This window comes from Homo sapiens, chromosome 2 (assembly GCF_000001405.40).
Source record: "Homo sapiens chromosome 2, GRCh38.p14 Primary Assembly".
Taxonomy (NCBI): Eukaryota; Metazoa; Chordata; class Mammalia; order Primates; family Hominidae; genus Homo; species Homo sapiens.
The window spans coordinates 122,910,648-122,929,344 of NC_000002.12; the positions used below are offsets into that span (position 1 = coordinate 122,910,648).

At 38.9% G+C, this 18,697-nt stretch overlaps 1 annotated feature.

The window, feature by feature from the left end:
- Positions 17,147–17,695: an enhancer, noted in NCBI's record as "OCT4-NANOG hESC enhancer chr2:123685370-123685918 (GRCh37/hg19 assembly coordinates)". NCBI's record gives its function as "activates a minimal SCP1, AML or CMV promoter by ChIP-STARR-seq in naive H9 embryonic stem cells {active_cell/tissue: H9 hESC(naive)}" and the evidence as "EXISTENCE:reporter gene assay evidence [ECO:0000049][PMID:30033119]".

Genomic DNA, 18,697 nt, shown 5'->3' on the forward strand with positions numbered 1-18,697 from the left:
GAACTTAAAATGAATCATAAACCTTCCTAAACCTGAAGATCAGCTATAAGACTGTAAAACTTCTAGGAAAAGAAAAGGATAAATTATTTGTGATTTGAATTAGGCACAGAGTTTTACATAACTCCAAAGCATTATGCTTAAAACTTAAAAAAAAAATTACAAATGGAACATGCTCCAAATTTAACACTTGTGCTATGTAAATGAAAGACAAGTTATAGACAAGAAGAAAATATTTTTAAATCATAATTGTCAAAGGACTTGTATCCAGAATACACAGAGAATTTTTGAAAACTCAACAATAAAAAAATCTGATTAGAAAATAAGCAAAAAACTGCAACAGATACTTTATGAAAGAAGCTTTATGCATGGCAAATGAGCACATGGAAACATACTCAATGTTATTAGACAAATTCAAATTAAAACCATAATGAGATTGCACTAGGAACCTATTAAAATGACCAAAATGACACTTACACACACACACATATCAGACATTACGCAGTATTGATGAGCATACAAAACGACTGGAAGCATCACACATTGCTGGTGAGATTGCAAAATGGTACAACCACCTAGGTAAAAAATATGGCAGTTTTGTATAAAGTTAAGCATACACTGACCAGATGATGTAGTGCCTACTCTCTAACTATGCACCCAAGATAAATGTAAACTTATGTTCATACAACATTTATATGACATTATGGAAAAGGCAAAATTATATCAACACAGAGTAGATTGTTTTTTCCAGGATTTGGGGTGGAGGAGAATCTGACCACCAAGGGGCAACAAGATAAAATTATTTGGGGTGATGAAACTATTCCATATCCCAATACTTTGGGTGGCCGAGGTGGATGGATCACCTGTGGATCAGGAGTTCGAGACCATCCTGGCCAACATGGCGAAACCCCGTCTCTACTAAAAATACAAAAATTATCCAGGCATGGTGGTGAGCACCTGTAATCCCAGCTACTCGGGAAGCTGAGGCAGAAGAATCGCTTGAACCTGGGAGGCAGAGGTTGCAGTAAGCAGGGATCACACCACTGCACTCCAGCCTGGGAGCCTGGGCAACAGAGCATGACTCCATCTCAAAAAAAAAAAAAAAAAAAAAGAAACTATTCTGTACCTCAAATGTGGTGGTTCATATATGAACACATGATTGTGCATTCATCAAAACCCATAGCTATCCACCATAGAGTTAATTTACTCGATGTAAATTTAAAAATGAAGATAAATACAAAACGTCTAATGGGTTGGTTTGGTAAAAGGAAATGCCTGTTTTAGTTTAGTTTAATAATGAATGCCTATAATTATGATGTCCAGATCTGCTGATGATCTTGCAGATAAAAGCATTATGGCATCTATGGCATTGATGGGTACAAGAGGAAGAGTAAGAAAATGAGAAATGAGATTGTTATGTATGGATCACTAGTATGACGTGGGCTTTTTTCTTCTTGAGGCTTTTAATATGCTTGACTGATTTATCTTCATGTTCATATGTATTAGTATTTTCATTTGATTTATGACGAAATTGAGGCTTGTCCTGAGACAAAAAGAAATTTTTTTGAATATACACTGCTTCTACATACAGAATACGTAACACTGACCCAGGCCTACAGGTAAGGGGGCATTAAAATGAAGAAATACATAACAAAGCATTGAGCAAAATTCTATTTAAAGAGTTTTTTTTGTTTGTTTTCCATGCTGGAGGAACATTGAGGAGTTGATAATGGAAATACCTGGGGTTATAAACATCAAAACAGCCACCCCAAAGGAGTGTTTTAACACCAGTATTTTGGTGATGTGCCACAAGGCTCTGTGCTTTTCTATAATCCAAACCACAACTTGAGTGAAGGCATACTATGTATGCTTATCAATTTCACACATAATACAGAGCCAAATAAAATGTTTTATGTGTTAAATTATATATTCAAAATATCATGCCAGACTTGGCATATGGGAACAAGTAAACACTTGAAATGCCAGCAGGGATCAATATAAAGATGTGCATTTTAAGTCAAAAAAATAATTTTAAAAATAGAAAGTTTGTGCTAACATTTTGTAGGAAGAATGAGATAAGCACATAGAATGAGCTTCAAGTGCTTGTCTGCATCATTTAAATTCACACTATTTTTTTTAAAAAAGACAGAAATGAGGAATCTTGGTTTTATAGGAAGTTTCAGGGACACATATCTGAGGATTTTTGTTGAACAAATTGTAATGTGTCAATCGTGTGGCTATGTATGCTCCATCTCAAGTTGTATCAATGAATGTGTGGTATGGAACAGATGTCAGTGGAGATGGGTCTGTTTCCCTCTACTGAACTGACCATATCGTTGAGGCTGGCTCCCCACTTTGTTCTGTGTGTGCACACATAAGCGGTTGTGTGTATGCATGTGTGTATGTGTGGATGTGTATGTTTGTGTTGATGCTTGTTGAGATCTAGTAGGCAATGGCAGCATTCCTGATGGAAATGAGGAATTAGCAATGAGATGTGAACTTCAGTTGTTTTATTTGTTAAATTAAATAATTAATTTGGCTGGGTACAATGGCTCATGCCTGTAATCCCAGCACTTTGGGAGGTTGAGGCGGGTGGGTCACCTGAGGCCGGGAGTTTGAGACTAGCTTGGCCAACATGGTGAAACCCCGTCTCTACTAAAAAGGCAAAAATTAGCCCGGAATGGTGGCAGACACCTCTAATCCCAGCTACTTGGGAGGCTTAGGCAAGAGAATCACTTGAACCAGTGAGACGGAGGTTGCAGTGAGCTGAGATCGCACCATTGCACTCCAACCTGGGCAATGAGAGTGAAACTCCATCTCAAAAAATAATATTAATAGTAATTAATACGACTAATTTTTTTTCAGTGTGTACCATGTATGCCAAACACAAGTCCCAGGGCTATAGAGACAGCAGTAAATTATACATTAAAAAATAAAGACAATGAAATCTCCCATTTTGCTCTATTGTGAGGACTCAAGACATTTGGTTATTACAGGTGTTTAATCATTGCTAGATGTGATAGTTACTGATGAAGTGAACAATTTAGGATAAATATTCATTTTATATTCTGATGATGTTTAGAAACACACAAAGGTGTTGGTTTGCAAGGACAGAATTAAAAATTTTGGCTGCTCTAAGTTGTTATTTCAAAGATCACTTTGGACATGTTAGTGAAAACCCCATTAAAATGTCTCCTTATGATCGGCAACTCCTTCTAACTGCATTGCATACTTGGCAAATTTGACACGCTAAGCTTTTTTGAAACCAACAGGAAAAAACAGCATTGAGAAAATGAGCCTGCTGGAATTGTCAGGGCTCTGAGAATGGCTGGAATCTATGGCTTGAGGAAAAGTCTTCCATTGGCAAGAAGCTACTGAGCAACAAGGCTCATGGAGAGCTGCTGACCCTGGCAGCTGAGAACTTGGTCAGCCTAACAGGGCCAGCAGCAATGCCTCAAGGGCCATGGTAATTAGAACCTTCTCTGCCACAATGAGAAGTCATCAAAAAAAGGTGGTGGGGCACAGCCAGTGGCTAAATGTCCAAATACTAGCTAGAAAAGAATAACTTAAAAAGGAAAGAAAGATGACTTTGGTCCCTCCTAGAAATAATAAGAATTATTTATATGAACCTACCTCCAAATACAAAGGATAGAATGAACCCTCTTTTAAGGAATAAAAGGCCAACTGAAATTTTGTTTGCATAGGTTTCCCGACCAGGGAAACAATGTGATGGCCCCACTGTTTCCATTCCATGCCAGGTCAGGTGGCTCCTCTGGGCTGTTCTGCCAGTTAGGGGGCAGCTAAGGGATGTGTCTGGCTTTTCATTTAGGTATTTTTTTTTTTTTTTGAAACAGAGTCTTGCTCTGTCGCCCAGGCTGGAGTGCAGTGGCACGATCTCGGCTCAATGCAACATCCGCCTCCCAGGTTCAAGTGATTCTCCAGCCTCAACCTCTCAACTAGCTGGGATTACAGGCTCCCACCACCATGTCTGGCTAATTTTTGTATTTTTAGTAGAGACAGGGCTTCACCATGTTGGCCAGGATGGATGGTCTCAATAACTTGACCTCGTGGTCTGCCCACCACAGCTTCCCAAAGTGCTGGGATTACAGGTGTGAGACACCATTAAGGTGTATTTTCATTGCGTGTAGGAATATGTTAGTATATTTATCCTAGAGTCAGAAAATCAGATTCTGAATTCTAGCTGTAATAAAATAAAAATAGAGTCACAGAGGCAGACATTCTTTAAGAAATAACTGCCTCACTACTGGTCATTTGGCACCCATGCAGTATTTTACCAAATCTAGGGCCACAGCTTAAGCACACTTAAACCACATCTAAGAGAAGTCTCTGCATCCCCTTCACTAGCTATGGATGTTTGGGTGTGCTTTTCTATTTATTTGACATTAGCTAAACATCTGCCATTTCAGGCAGTTACGAATTCCTGTTTGTTGGGATTATATCATTGCTTCCTTCAAATCTTTTACTCATTCATGGAAGAGAAAGAGAAATGCACACATAATTACAATGTACTATGGTAAATTGCAAATATTATGGTCAGTTTTATGGCAAATTATGTAATGATTGTTAAGGGGCATCAAAAAGATTTGTCGGAGATTAAGTTTAGAATTAAACCTCCAAATTCAGGTGAATATTAATCAGATAAATATAATGCAGGTAGAAGAGAAATAGAAATTCTAAATGAGAAAATAGATACAAGGATTGCCAGATGCATTCAGAGAACTTTACCTAAAAGATTTGGGAGATAGGTCTATAGTTAAGGAGCAGCAAAAAATGATGCTGGAAGGGTAGGCAGAAATCATAGCATAAATGTTCCTGAATTTTTGCTAAGAAATGTTATCCTGAAGGCAAGAACAGATTCCAGGGAATCTGTGAAAAGTGAAAGTGACCCAGGTTGTTCACTTTCCTCCAAGCTGTGGTTGAGTCAAAATAATGTGGGGCATTTTGGCTAAAGTACAGAAAGACCTAAGCTTCAAGAAATATGCTGAACAATTGTTTACCCTTAGCAGGATGTTTGTTGATGAAAGGCAGAAAGGACTGCCCTTTTTGGGAACTACTGAAAGCAATAAAACTAGGCTTCAAGAATTGAATATGTTGATACACCATGGAATACTATACAGCCATCAAAAAAACAAGATCATGTCCTTTGCAGTAACATGAATGGAGCTGGAGGTCATTATCCTTAGCAAACTAATGCAAGAACAGGAAATCAAATAATGCATGTTCTTATTTATAAGTGGGAGTTAAATGACGAGAACACCTAGACACACAGAGAGGAAAAATACACGCTGGGGCCTATCAGAGGGTAGGAAGTGGGAGGAGGGAGAGGATCAGGAAAAACAACTAATGGGTAGTAGGCTTAATACCTGGGTGACAAAACAATCTGTACAACGAACCCTCATGACATAGGTTTACCTATATAACAGACCTGCACACATACGCCTGAACTTTAAATAAAAGTGTAAAAAAAAAAAAAAGAGTTGGATACGTTGAAAAGCTAGAAAGTTCTTTAGAATTAAGCATATAGAAAACGTAGGATAATTAGGACATAAGTGATAGAATTGTGCCCGTTTCTGAGACATTAGTAAGTCTATAGAGCAGATTTAGCTGTTAAATCAGAGGTCTTACATGCATAGAGCAAGCAAGGGAGCTGGTGGTGAGTATTTCATGTATAGAGATCTCATCTGGATTCATAGTTTGGTGAAGCCTGGGGGATGTGGGCTTGAAAGGGTTCCAAAGAGTTTAGTAGGAGCAAGGGGCTCACTGTTCAGAAACGCTTTAAAGTCATCAGCAGTGGAAGATCTCCTAATGGGAGTGTTCTGTTTATTTTGAACCAAGTTTGGCTCTTTTTCAAGATTGAATTACCCTATCTACCTTCCCCCACATCATTTCTTCTTCAGTGGTCTGTTTTACGCTCTCTCCTGAAGTTCCACAAGGGAAAGTCATGTTCATTATACTTATACCTGCTTCTACAGTGCATGAGGTATTGATGGGCCCTGATTTTTGGTTTGATGAGCATAATGGATGTAAGCATCAGTGCATGTAAGAGAAAGCCCCTGCAATCTGAACCTTTGGGAGTTTTAGGTTTAACTTCATTTTTTCTCCCAAAGGCTTTTGTGTCATTGAAGGATTCTGGAAACTTAGATCATCTTCATAAGAAAATGAAAACAATGTTAGTCAAATTTTGTTCTGAGATGTACCCTTCCCTCTGTATAATGAACTCATTTGACAGGAAAGAAGGGGAACAGTAGCAAAGTGGTCTGCATACTTCATCTGAAATCCCCCAGGCCTTCCTTCAATAGAGGATCTGGAACTGGATGCAGGCTCACTAATATGCAGATTCATGACTCACATAATGAGGTGAACATGTTTTACCTAAAAGATTTGTCACCACTGTAATTTCTACTTCCAGCAGAAGGGATCCAAACTCAAATCTGATTTAAAATTTTGCTTTGTTGTAACCTTCCAGATATCTACCTACCTCTTCCTTGGAACAAAGTTATTTCTGAGAAAAGTCAATCTCTTGAAATAGGATTTTATGGGTTTCCAAGAAAACCCTTGCTATAAAATGTATTTCTCATTGATCCTACCAAGATTTTTACATTAGAAAACTGATGTAAGCCAGGGTCATCCATACTCACAATTTTTGGATGTTGAAATTATTTTTACTTACCATTTTTAACAATTTCAAATAATTTAAATATATTAACTAAAAATGAAATTTATCATCACTACTAAATAAAACATAAACATATAAGGACACATGAGTAAAATATATTTTCTCCAAATAAATACAAGAAAAAATAACAGAACAAATCATTAATTTATGAGATTCAGGACACACACATACATCAAAATATTTGAGAAAATAGTAGAAGCAGACCACAGAAACTCAAAAAAAATTTCTCCTGAAGCAAGCCATAAAACCTGACTTTCCCCTGAAAGTAGGTCATAAGACCCTCATTATTTCAGAGGGGCCCTTTCCTATACCCATAAGCCAAGTAGGATAGAAACAAAAAGATCTTGCTAAGTTCTCCCTAGTTTATTACCATTAGATCTCACCTTTTTTTCTTTCTATCATATTTCAACATGACTGTCCACTCATCATCAAACCAAAGGATAAAAATACACAAATTTCCCTGTTTTTTTGAGCCTTCATTTATGAATTTGTGTGCTTTTCTCTTGTTAATCTGTCTTTGGATATAAGGATTTCAGTCATGAAACTTGTGATGAGTTAGAAAAGGTTTTACTTTGCTTCTCTACACCATTTATGTAACACTCTAAACCATTTCACAAACACTGAGCTAAAACACAGCTAGTAGTATTTCATCTTATTCACTGTGCTAGGGTCAGGGGTACAAAGATAAATAGATATAATTACTATCATTAAGGAGTACAAAATAATAAGGGAGAGGGACACAGAAACAGATCACTGTAACTTGATGTCAGCATTTCTGTGATGAACATAAACCTAGAGCATTTTTTATAGGCACAAAGAAAAGCACTCAACCCTACAAGTCTGTGTCAGAGAAGTTGCTGGGGTGGGTGATGGCAGAGTCAAGCGTTTGATAAGATGTGCGTAGAGTAATGACTAGGTAACCAAAGGAGGATATCTCAAGCAGTGGGACAGCATGAACAGCCTAGATTCCATCAAAGGCACATGATGAGTGGGATTTAGGTGGAATTAGCATTGCCACAGTGAACAGTGGAGTTAGGGAGCTGATGGAAGGAGTTGCGGTGGGATGCTAGACAAGCAACTTGCACTTCGTTTGGGGAAACAATGGGGGTGACAGGAATAGATTTTACCATTTCAAGCCAGAAGTTTATAAAAGAATGTTAGAATTTCAATCTAGCAAGTAAATACAACTCACTGAACCAGGAACTCAATGGGGAGAGGAAAATGGAAAGTTTTGTGAGTGACAATAGGTGAAGGCCTTTGAGAAATAAGATGGAGAGATCAGAGCATCACACTGCCTAAGACCAATAGATATTAAGCTGATCTTCCCTCCTGCCCAGGCGAGTTTGTTTCAAGGACAAAGTGTATGTCAGCATTGTGGTAATGTGAATTGTTTGGCCTCTAGTTGTTCTGCAATTGTGGACAGAGGACCTGATGACTGGTTTTGTTGAGATTGAGTCTATTCTTCTTGTAACTGATTGGGTTCCGAGACTCCTATACATTTCTTAAAGACTCCAAGCAAGAACTTCTTTCAAGGTCACGGCTATGACTTTGTACTCATATATGTGATTGTAGGTAAGTCCCTTTCTTATTAAAGGGTTAATATTATCATCTCTAAAATGAGATCAAGAAGAGTTACCTTGAAAGGCCGTTATGCGGATCAGTTGGTATAAAGTGTGTGAAAATACCTCACCCTATGATTTGTGCATATTATACATTCTCAGTATTTCTTAGTTTTCTATTTGCTTCACAATAGTAAGCATGTAAGCAATGTTTGATAATGATGGTGACATCAGAAAGGATTAACTGAGGCATGATTTTGTGGACTGGAAATGTAAAGAAAACTAAATACACTTTTATTCTGATTACAGTGTCTAATAACTTTGTGTTTGGGGCCTTCGTTGTATTTGAAGTTATTATGCACTGTTCTCTTACTGTGACAAAAGGGAATCCAGGTGAAGGGCATCGTTAGTCCTCCATTAACCCTGATGCTAGCCATAATTATGCCTGCTAATGGATACCTCTCCACCAGCTATTAGTCAATATTCCTATATTAGGACCTGGGCCAGGAAACACCAATAAAAATCCACGTTTACTTTGGAACTTCACAGAAGATTCCTGCTAGACCACTAAGCCTGCATTCCAGTTAGCGTTGAAGATACATCTTCAGACCAATTTGGAGAAAAAAAAAGTTTGTGGAGAGCTTATGTCTACAGTAGTTCACTTTTCTTTTCAGCGACTGTTTTATGCCAAAGTGACCAAAAGATCACATGATCACAAGGATTTAAAAATTGAACAAAATGCAAAGCAAAATTTATTTCTTAGAAGTATTTTATGTTGGTCAAAATGGTGATGTTCATCTTCCATTTATTGAAAATTAATACGTGTCAGGAATTGTGCGAGGTGCTTTACATATATATTTTAATTAATGTTCTCCAGAATCTGATGATGTATTTAGTTTTCATTCTCTTTTACAGATGAAATAAACCAAGCCTGAGAGAAGGCAAATAAATTGGCTAAAGTTATAGTACCAGTTAGAAAACAAAGCAGATATCCAATACCCAGTCTATCCATAGTCAACATTTAGGGAAATTGCTGTATTCTCCTTTGTCAGATGTTGAAAAAGGTATTTCCTTTGATATGAAACACCCAGGGAGACATGGAAATAAAGTAAGCGGATATGTATGAAAGTTATTTTTTAAAAAAATCTAAATTGCTTGGCACGGAAACCATAGGTAGTGTATCTTGACCACATCCAAAGCAGCTTATCATTCAAAGGAGATATCCAATAAGTACTTGTGTATGAATTTGCCTTTGACTGTGAATTGAACAGAAGGTCAACGAGAAGCAAACAAGTGGGTTAAAGTAGTTTGGGGTGGGCTTTTTTAAAACTTAATTTTTTTATTTTATATGTTTAAGATGTATAATAAGATGTTTTGATATACTTGATATACATATACTAAGTAATTACTGTAGTCGAGTAAATTAACATGTCTACATCTCATATAATAATCTTCCTTTTTTCTTTCTTTTTTTGGTGATAAGAATACTGAAAAACTACTCTGTTGTTAAATTACCAGTACACAATACATTATTAAATATAGTCCTCATGTCATAACTAGATCTCTGGACTTATTCATCCCACATAACTACGACTTTGTACTCTTTGACCTACATCCTCTCATTTCTCCTGTGTTCCCCACCCCACTCTTGATAACTTGTGTCTGACTTATTTCACTTAGCCTGACGTCCTCTTGGTTTGTGCTTGGTAGTGTTGTCACAAATGGCAAAATCTCCTTCTTTTTAAAGACTGAATTATCTATATCTGTATAAAATTCAGCAAGATACTGAATTATGTTTATATATAAAATGCATTTAAATTATGCTTATATATATAAGCATAATTCAATATCTTTATTTCTTTATCCATTGACCAAACTTTAGTTGTTTCCATATCTTGGTTTTTATGAACTAGATGGGCTTCTGATTAATATAATGTTCAGATTGATGGAGTTGCCATATCCTGTGTGTGAATTTTCCAATTCCCCAAACTTAGTAAATAGAAAATACTTCCCACTTCGCCAACATCCTGAGCAGAATGCCCACTTACTTGATGATCATTCCTGCAGAATGCTAAGCTTCCTTCCCACCCTCCAGAGGTGTCAGAAAAGATGTTCTGCAGAAAGTCTTTCCAAATATTCCCAGTCAGGTATCACTTTACTTTTGTCTTCTTTGTGAACCAAAGCAGTATGTTAGTAGCTTTAGGAAGACAGTATATTTGACCTCACTGTTTTAAACATATTTTCTGGGTTTGAAGTCTGTTCAGAGTTTATAAATATCTACTCTGAAGACACTTGAGGGAAGGCAATGACTGTTTTAGTTTGGTTTAACTACAAATGCCCATAATCAATGATGTCTGGATCAGCTGATGGTTCTGCAGATTAAAACTGTTATTGAGGGTTTATAAGGTCAATGGGATTGATTAGAGCAAAGGAAAGGGCAAGAAAATGAGATTGATATGTACTGATCATTAGTATGACCTGGGCTGTTTCCTAGGCTCTTAGCATGCATTTCTGATTTATCTTCATACTGATAAGCTGTAATTTCATTTAATAGATGATGAAATTGAAGCTTGACCAAAGAAACAGAAACTTTTCTGAAAATAAACTGCTTCTACATACAGAATAAATAACATTGACTCAGGCCAACAGATCAAAGGCATAAAAATGAATAAATACATAACAAAGCATTGAACAAAATTCTGCTTTAGGTCTAACAATTTTCCATGATGACTCTAAACAGTCTTGGGAACATGAGGAAGAAACCCTGGCTGGTTGATAAGACAAATCCAAGGGGCTATAAATACGAAAATAGCCACACTCAAATGGCATTTTACTTTCTAATGAAAAGTATTCAGGTGATATGTTGCAGGGCTCTGTGCTGTTCTATGATCTAAACCACAACTTGAGTGATGGCATACCTCATATGCTTATAAAATTCACATGCAATGCAGACCCAGATAAAATGTTTTATATATTGCATGGTATATTTAAAATAGCATGCCAGGCTGGAAATATGGTAACAAGGAAGCTCCTGAAATACAACAGGTATTAATATAAAGATGTGAAGTTTACTTCAAAGGAATTAATTCTAAAAATTTCTAGTGGCATAAAGTTCCACCACAGTTGGGGCCTTTAGTTCACTTGAACTCACCATTGTTGAACTCCTGGAATAAAATTTCCATTTAGAAATGTCTAAGTAGGCATTAATCTGTGTATGTATGCTCTAAAAAGAGGAGAACCTAGCCCTGAAAAGGGTGAGTCCTACAGACTTGCTGCATTTGACTAATAAGATTAATTTGGAAGAAGGTTCTCTTGCTTTTGGAAATGATTAAGTAACCAGACAAAAATTGCACGTGAATGTTGGAAGATGTGCCTTGGTCGTGGAGGATAGGGGTAGGATTTTTGGTAAGGAAGGATCTTACTGGCAAGAACAGATGTGTTTTCTATCCCCTGAAGCTTATAAAATTTTGTATACCTTCTTTAATAATAGAAGGTGATAAAAATAAAATTAGGTCCATGAAACTCTAGAGATGACAAATTTGCTAAGTTTCTGGGTTTGAAGTCTGTTTATGGTTTATATACACCTACTCTGAAGAGACTTGAGAAAAGGTAATGTCTGCCTTTTTCCAATTTGGGAGGAATTTTGGAAGAGAAGCATGAAATAGAAATTATTTGTACCTTAGATGTTTTTTGGTAAATAGTTCATTAATTTATATTTCCATTTCTTGTTGTTATCACCATAGGCCTAAGTCTACATGTTGAATCAACAGGGTTAGAACAAAGATAATAATCTGAAAGTCAGAGAAATCCTGTGACTAGCTTCATCTGTTCTGTGATTAGACTTTGTTCCTATGTTAAGCTAATTGTGCCTGCTTTCTCTCCAACTTGGGGATGTGATAATCATTAAATGCATTCATCAAATATGACCAGCACATGGTAATACTACATTTCCTGGGTTCTTATAGTTAAATGTGTCCATATGACTAGTCTGGCCAAAAATTTGTGAGCAGAATTAATGTGTCACTTTCTAGTGTGAGCACTTAATTGGTAGCCTGAGAGCGCAGAATCTTCCCCAGAGCTCTCTTTCCTTCTGCCATGGTAACTGGCAATTTGGGAATGTGGCTGCTCTGTTATCCTAGTTATAGTGAGGAGTCATGGAAAAGAGCCTCTAGAGTTAAAAGTATGCCTTTCTGCTTATAGGTCACTAGCTTCTTATTACCAAAGAATACCCTACGATACATGGGAGCTCCTTAGGCCCTCATGAAAATAATAAGTGAGAGGGAGCATGCAAGCAAGAGAGTGTAGGAACCGGAGTGAACGAATGCTGGAACCAGCTGCTTACTCCTCTCTGGTGGGAGCAGGCTCTGTGCAGGCCCCACAGCAGCATCCAAGCCCCTAACCTCTAGGCACCCAGGTTCTTGTCCAGCGTTCATGAAGAATCAGGTCACGTGAAAGGACTGAAGGGAAGTGTATTCAGAGGATTTTACTGGGAAATGGAAGTGGCTCTCAGCGGGATCGGGAATTGGAAAGGGGATGGTGCAGGAAGAATTTGATCTTTCCTGGAAGCTGCACTGTCTGAAATTAGCTGCGTCTATCTGCAGTCTCTAATGCTGAGTTGCTTCTCTGCTCGCTGCTCAGCCCCTTGTGTTCCTGCTGCTCAGCTGCTTTTGTTGCTCTGCCAGCTGAGGTCTTTTTATGGGTACAGGATGGGGCATGGCAGGCCAAAAAGGCAACATCTGGATGGAAAAACGGGGTCAGCTGTTTTCACTTAGGGCCACAGTTCCAGACTTAAGGATGGGATTTAGCCAGGAGCCCAAGCAGTTCTGTGTCATTTTCCCCCTCTGAAGAGGCACATCTAACTGCCGTTAGAATATAGACGATCCAGTCTTAGCTACTTCCTGCTGAAAGGGGGCATTATTTGGGGGAAACGGCAGTCAGATTCTTCCTAGAGGTCTACCCAAGGGTCCCTAGCAAAAGGGGCTGGTTATCTGAGGCTCTGCCTGTCTGCCCATTTGGAGACTTGATGGCTTCTTGGCAAGAAATAGAAACAAGCTTTACAAGGTAAGTATGCATGAATCAAACATGTATTATACAAGGAAAGAATCTAGTGCCAAAGATTACAGAAAGAAGTGAAATATACTAACAACGTTGTATCCTGAGCTCTCTCACCCTGATAAAATAGATTAAACCTTGTATAGGAGCAGTTAAACTTTAAGAGGGAGTAGCTGTTCTTGTCAAATCTGTAGCAGTTAAGAGGTGAACCTTAGGAATTCTGGAGTTTGTGAGCTTGAATGGTGGCCATTAAAGCTTCTGCCTCTTTCTTGTGTCTGAAAGACCAATGTGGCCCCTTTCAAAAGGTCCTCTAATGTACTATCTGGTCCCATGGTCCGTTTCTGAGTATAAACTGGAGGTGGTGAAGTTTGTTGCCCATTCTGAAAGACAGGGAATTTGGCATCCCTCATTCCCTTCCTCCTTTCAGCGAAAACTCGGAATGTGAGGTGGAAAGAAAGCAGGCACACCTCCTTTTCTTTCCCATCCTTATCCCCAAGTCCCAGTGTCCTTGGCAGGTGCCACCCATGGATGCCAATGTGGCTTGCACCCATAAACCAGTGAAGGCCTAGAAAATAGGAATTATCCACACTCATCTATGCCTCTACCTCCCCTACTGTCGACAACCTTTGAGTTTCCTGGGTCTCATTTATGCCATGCAGCATGGCCTCCTTCCATGAAGTGGGGGTTTAATCAGCAAGAATTAGTCCTGCTCATTTACACTGTGCCTATTGCCTGGCTTTAGCTCCCTCAGATCTGGTTTTCCTTTCTAGGGCCTCAATCTAAAGCTCGAAATCGAGTTTGGGACAAAAAGGTGTTTCAGGTGTGCATAGATTAATTTAGATTAAGTCTCAAACAGGCCTTGCCAAATGTACAGCTAACAGCCAGCAGGGATCGATCCTCTGTTGTTTCCCTATCATAAGCAGAGTGTTGAGGTAGGAAGAGAACTCTTTTGCTTAGAGAAGAAGAAAGCAACTGGGCCAGGCGCGGTGGTGCATGCCTGTAATCCCAGAACTTTGAGAGGCCAAGGTGGGTGGATAACCTGAGGTCAGGAGTTCGAGACCAGCCTGACTAATATGGTGAAACTCTGTCTCTACTAAAAAAAAAAAAAAAAAAAAATTAGCTGAGCATGGTGGCACATGCTTGTAATCCCAGCTACTCAGGAGGCTGAGGCAGGAGAATCACTTGCATCCAGGAGGCAGAGGTTGCAGTGAGCCGAGACTGTGACACTGCACTCCAGCCTGGGCAACAAGAGCGAAACTCCATCTCAAAAAAACAAAGAAGAAAGCAACTTAAACTGCATAAGGGGGCAGGGAGCCTAGGAGAAGAGCATCTTGCTCTGTGGAAATGAGTTTCTTTAATCACCGTATCCTTCCCCTGGTTCAGACTGGCTAGACCTCTGTGAAGGGAAACAGAGCCAACATTCCTTTTATGCAAAGGTAAAAGAGAAGTGGCAAGGTCTTTGAAAAGAGACAGATCCGACAGTTTTGCATTTTAACTCACCCTTTTTTTGTATCCTGGATGAGCCCCCAGATGAGACGGGATTGTTCCCTTGACCTTGACCCCCTTCATGGGTGGGAACTAGAGTGGCTTGACTCAGCCCACTACTGGTCAGTCCTTGCAAGAGGGAGCACATGAGCAAGTGAGTGCAGGAACCAGAGTGAATGAGCACTAGAACTAGCCAGTCACTTCTGTCTGGTGGGAGCAGGCTCTGTATGGGGCCTGCAGCAGCATCCAGGCCCCTGCCATTTCAGCACATGTGCTCTTGTCCAGCATCCAGAAAGGATCAAGTCACATGAACAGATTGAAGGGTAGTGTATGTTGAGGATTTTGAGTGATGGAAGTGGCTCTCAGTGGGATGGGAAGTTGGAAAAGGGATAGTGTGGGAAGAAGGTGATATTTCCCAGAAGCTGCCTCATCTGAAGTTAGCTGCATCTATATGTATTCTCTGACACTCAGTTGCTTCTCTGCTCACTGCTCAGCCACTTGTATCCCCAGCCACTTGTATCCTTGCCACTCAGCTGCTTGTACCCCTGATACTCAGTCATTTTTGTTCTCTGCCAGCTGAAGTCTTTTCATGGGCATAGGATAGAGGTATGGCAGGCCAAAAAGGCAACATATAAGTGGCAAAATGGGGTCAGGTGTTTTTACTTTGGGCTGTGGTTCCAGGCTTAAGTTTGGGGTTTAGCCAAGAGCCCAGCCCTTCTGTATTGACAACAAATTACCAAAACTTAACATCTTAAAACAATACCTATTTATTATATGTTTGTGTAGGTCAGAAGTCCAGGTAAGCTCAGCTTGTCTCTACTCAGGCTATTGCAAGACTGAAATCCAGGTATTAGCTAGGCTGTGCTCCTTTCTGGAAGCCTGAAGAATGAATTCATTTCCAAGGTCATTCAAATGCGGACAGAATTCATATCTTTGTGATTGTAGGACTGAGGTTCCTGTTTTTTTGCAGGGTACTGGGCTCACTTCCTGCTCCTAGAGGCCACCTGAATTTCTTTTCCTTTTCATTTCACTCTCCATCTTTACTCCAGCCATAGCACTTTGAGTCCTTCTTGTGTTTCAAATATTTCTCACATCCTCTTCTGTGCTCTTCTGTCTTTTAACAGGCTGTGTAATTAGATCAGGCTCACCTTGATAATCTCCAAACTCTAAGGTCAACTGACTAAAGCCCTAAATTACAACTGCAAAGTTCCTCTACAACAGTCCCTAGATTAGTGCTTGATTGAATAGCCGGGGACTGGGGATCCTGGAGGGAGAGGGGCAATTCTTGGAATTCTGCCTACCACATAGTTGCACTCTCTATGTCCTAGAATTTCTTAAAACATAGTATGTTGTGATCATGCTAACTTATCTAAATTTCCATTCTGATAATTTTCCATCTCTTTGTCTTGACTTGACTGTGATCCATGTATCTAAAAAGCCACTCAATTAAAAGTCTTTTTTGTTAAATTAAATAACACTCCCATAACTCCTCTACCCCCCAAAATGTATACATGTTCACACAACAAACAGCACACACTCTTTTAGTCCTAAAGTAAGTCAAAATATTGAGTTTTACATTTCTGGTGATGAAAAATTTACCACAGAACCCATTAACCCAGAAGATCAACAATTACAAAATAAAACAATTGGGAAATGACCTGGCACTAATTTGAGATTATAACTAATTTGTAATGAGAAGCAAAGACATTAATGCTTGCAAACATTCTCTAGATCCATTGCCACACCCCAGTTTGAACTTCTCGAATCCTCTAAATCATGTTAGCTTCCCAAGGCTCCTTTGTTCTGAATCCTATATCAAAGTGCCAAAGCCATTCAATGGACTCTTCTTTGTAAGTGCTAACTGCTTTGTATTTTTACCAATTTATGTTATTCCACTGAAGCTGAAGTGCCAGCTTGTGAACAAAGCATTCCTTCTCTCCCTTGTCAGACTGCCAAGATGCTGATTCTATTGAATAAACTCCTTCCTGCTGGCCCGTGAGAAGGACCCCCTAGCGAGTCCCTTGCCCTCTAACTCTAGAGCTCAATGGGGAGGAAACAGGCTATTGGCAGCTGTTATCAAATGGAGACCTCACTTAAGTGTTAATATGCCTCCCCTCTGCTCTAACCAGACAGAACTTGACATCTTTCCTGCTCAAGCTGTATTCAATTTCATCTCAGGATCTTTCTTTAGGCTCATTCTCATTCTTTCCTTCTACTTATTTAGAAGGTTATTACTTATTTAATTTCTTTAATAGATATAGGCCTAGTCAGAGTATTTATTAATCCTTGTGAGAATTCTGGTAGTTTGTACTTCCTAAAAATTGGTGTGTTTCATCTATTGTCAAATTTGGGGGCATTTGTTGTCCATAGTTATTCATATTATTATCATTTTATTTCATTATCTTTTATTATTTTAATGTCCATGGAATCAGGAGTGTTGACCCCTCTTTTATTTCTGATGTTGATAATTGATGTCTTCTATTTCTTTTCTTGGTTCTCCCAAAAATAAAACTCTAAGCCCCCTAGCTGACTGATTGGAACCTGCTGTTGGCCAAGAGAATTGCAAAGAAACCTGAAAAAGTACTTCAGGCAATGATGGGAGGGGAGGATCACATGTTGCCTCATTATACTCTCTGCCCTTTGGAATTCAGGCACAATTAACCAGCATTAACATTAAAATAGCAATCCTAAAACTGACCAAACAAACTCTTTTTAGCAATAAGATACCAAATTCCAACTACACTGTACTATAGCATCATATGACAGATACCAGGCACTGAGATACTAGGCACTGAAAGAAACCAAAGTATTTTGCCCCTTAATATATTTCTTTGACATATTTTGAAATGGCCCTGCACAGCTATCTTTTTTTTTCTTTTTCTTTTTTTCTTTTTTTTTTTTTGAGACGGAGTCTCACTCTGTAACTCAGGCTGGAGTGTAGTGGTGTGATCTCGGCTCACTGCAACTTCCGACTCCTGGGTCCCAGTTCAAGTAATTCTCCTGCCTCAGCCTCCGGAGTAGCTGGGATTATAGGCATACACCACCATGCCCAGATAATTTTTGTATTTTTAGTAGAAATGGGGTTTCACCATGTTGGCCAGGCTGGTCTTGAACTCATGACTTCATGATTCGCCTGCCTCAGCGTCCCAAAGTGCTGGAATTACAGGCATGAGCCACCGCACCCTGCCACAGCCATCTCTTGTGGGGAAAATTTACATTCTGTAGAGAATCCTTTTCCCTTTCCAGGTCTTTTTCTCATCCAGGAGAGTTTTAGCTAAGAGTCCGAAATGTTTTAAGGTCTGATAAGAGACATTTACCATCTATTCTCTCTGAAGACTGCTACCTGGAAGCTCCATCTACATAACAAGAATGTTGGCTTCCATAACTCCCTTATCTTAACCCCAAGCATTTCTTTCTGCTTACTTCAACGCTTTAGATAATAACAATTCTTTAAATTTATTGCTAATCAGTAAATCTTTAAATCCACCTATGACCTCTAATCCCCCTGCCATGACCTGGATTCAAGTTTTCCCACCTTTCTAAATCAAACGAATGTATACTTTATATGTATTGATTTATGTCTCCCTGTAACTTTTGACCCCTAAAATGTATAAAATCAAGCTGTAGCCAAACCACCTTGGACACATGTCCTCAGGACACTCTGGGGCTATGTTATGGGTCATGTTCATTGCATTTGGCTCAGAAGACATCTTTTCAAATATTTTACAGAGTTTGGCTTTTTTAGTCAACATTAATGCTAAGTAAAAAGAAATCTGAACTTAAGTGAAAAGAGATTGTATTAAAACGACTATTTCAACAGGAAGAACTCTTGAAACTGAAGATCTACAAGCATCTCAAAATCAAACAGAAAAAGAAAAGCTTTCCTTTTTTAGAGAGGGGTTCAACT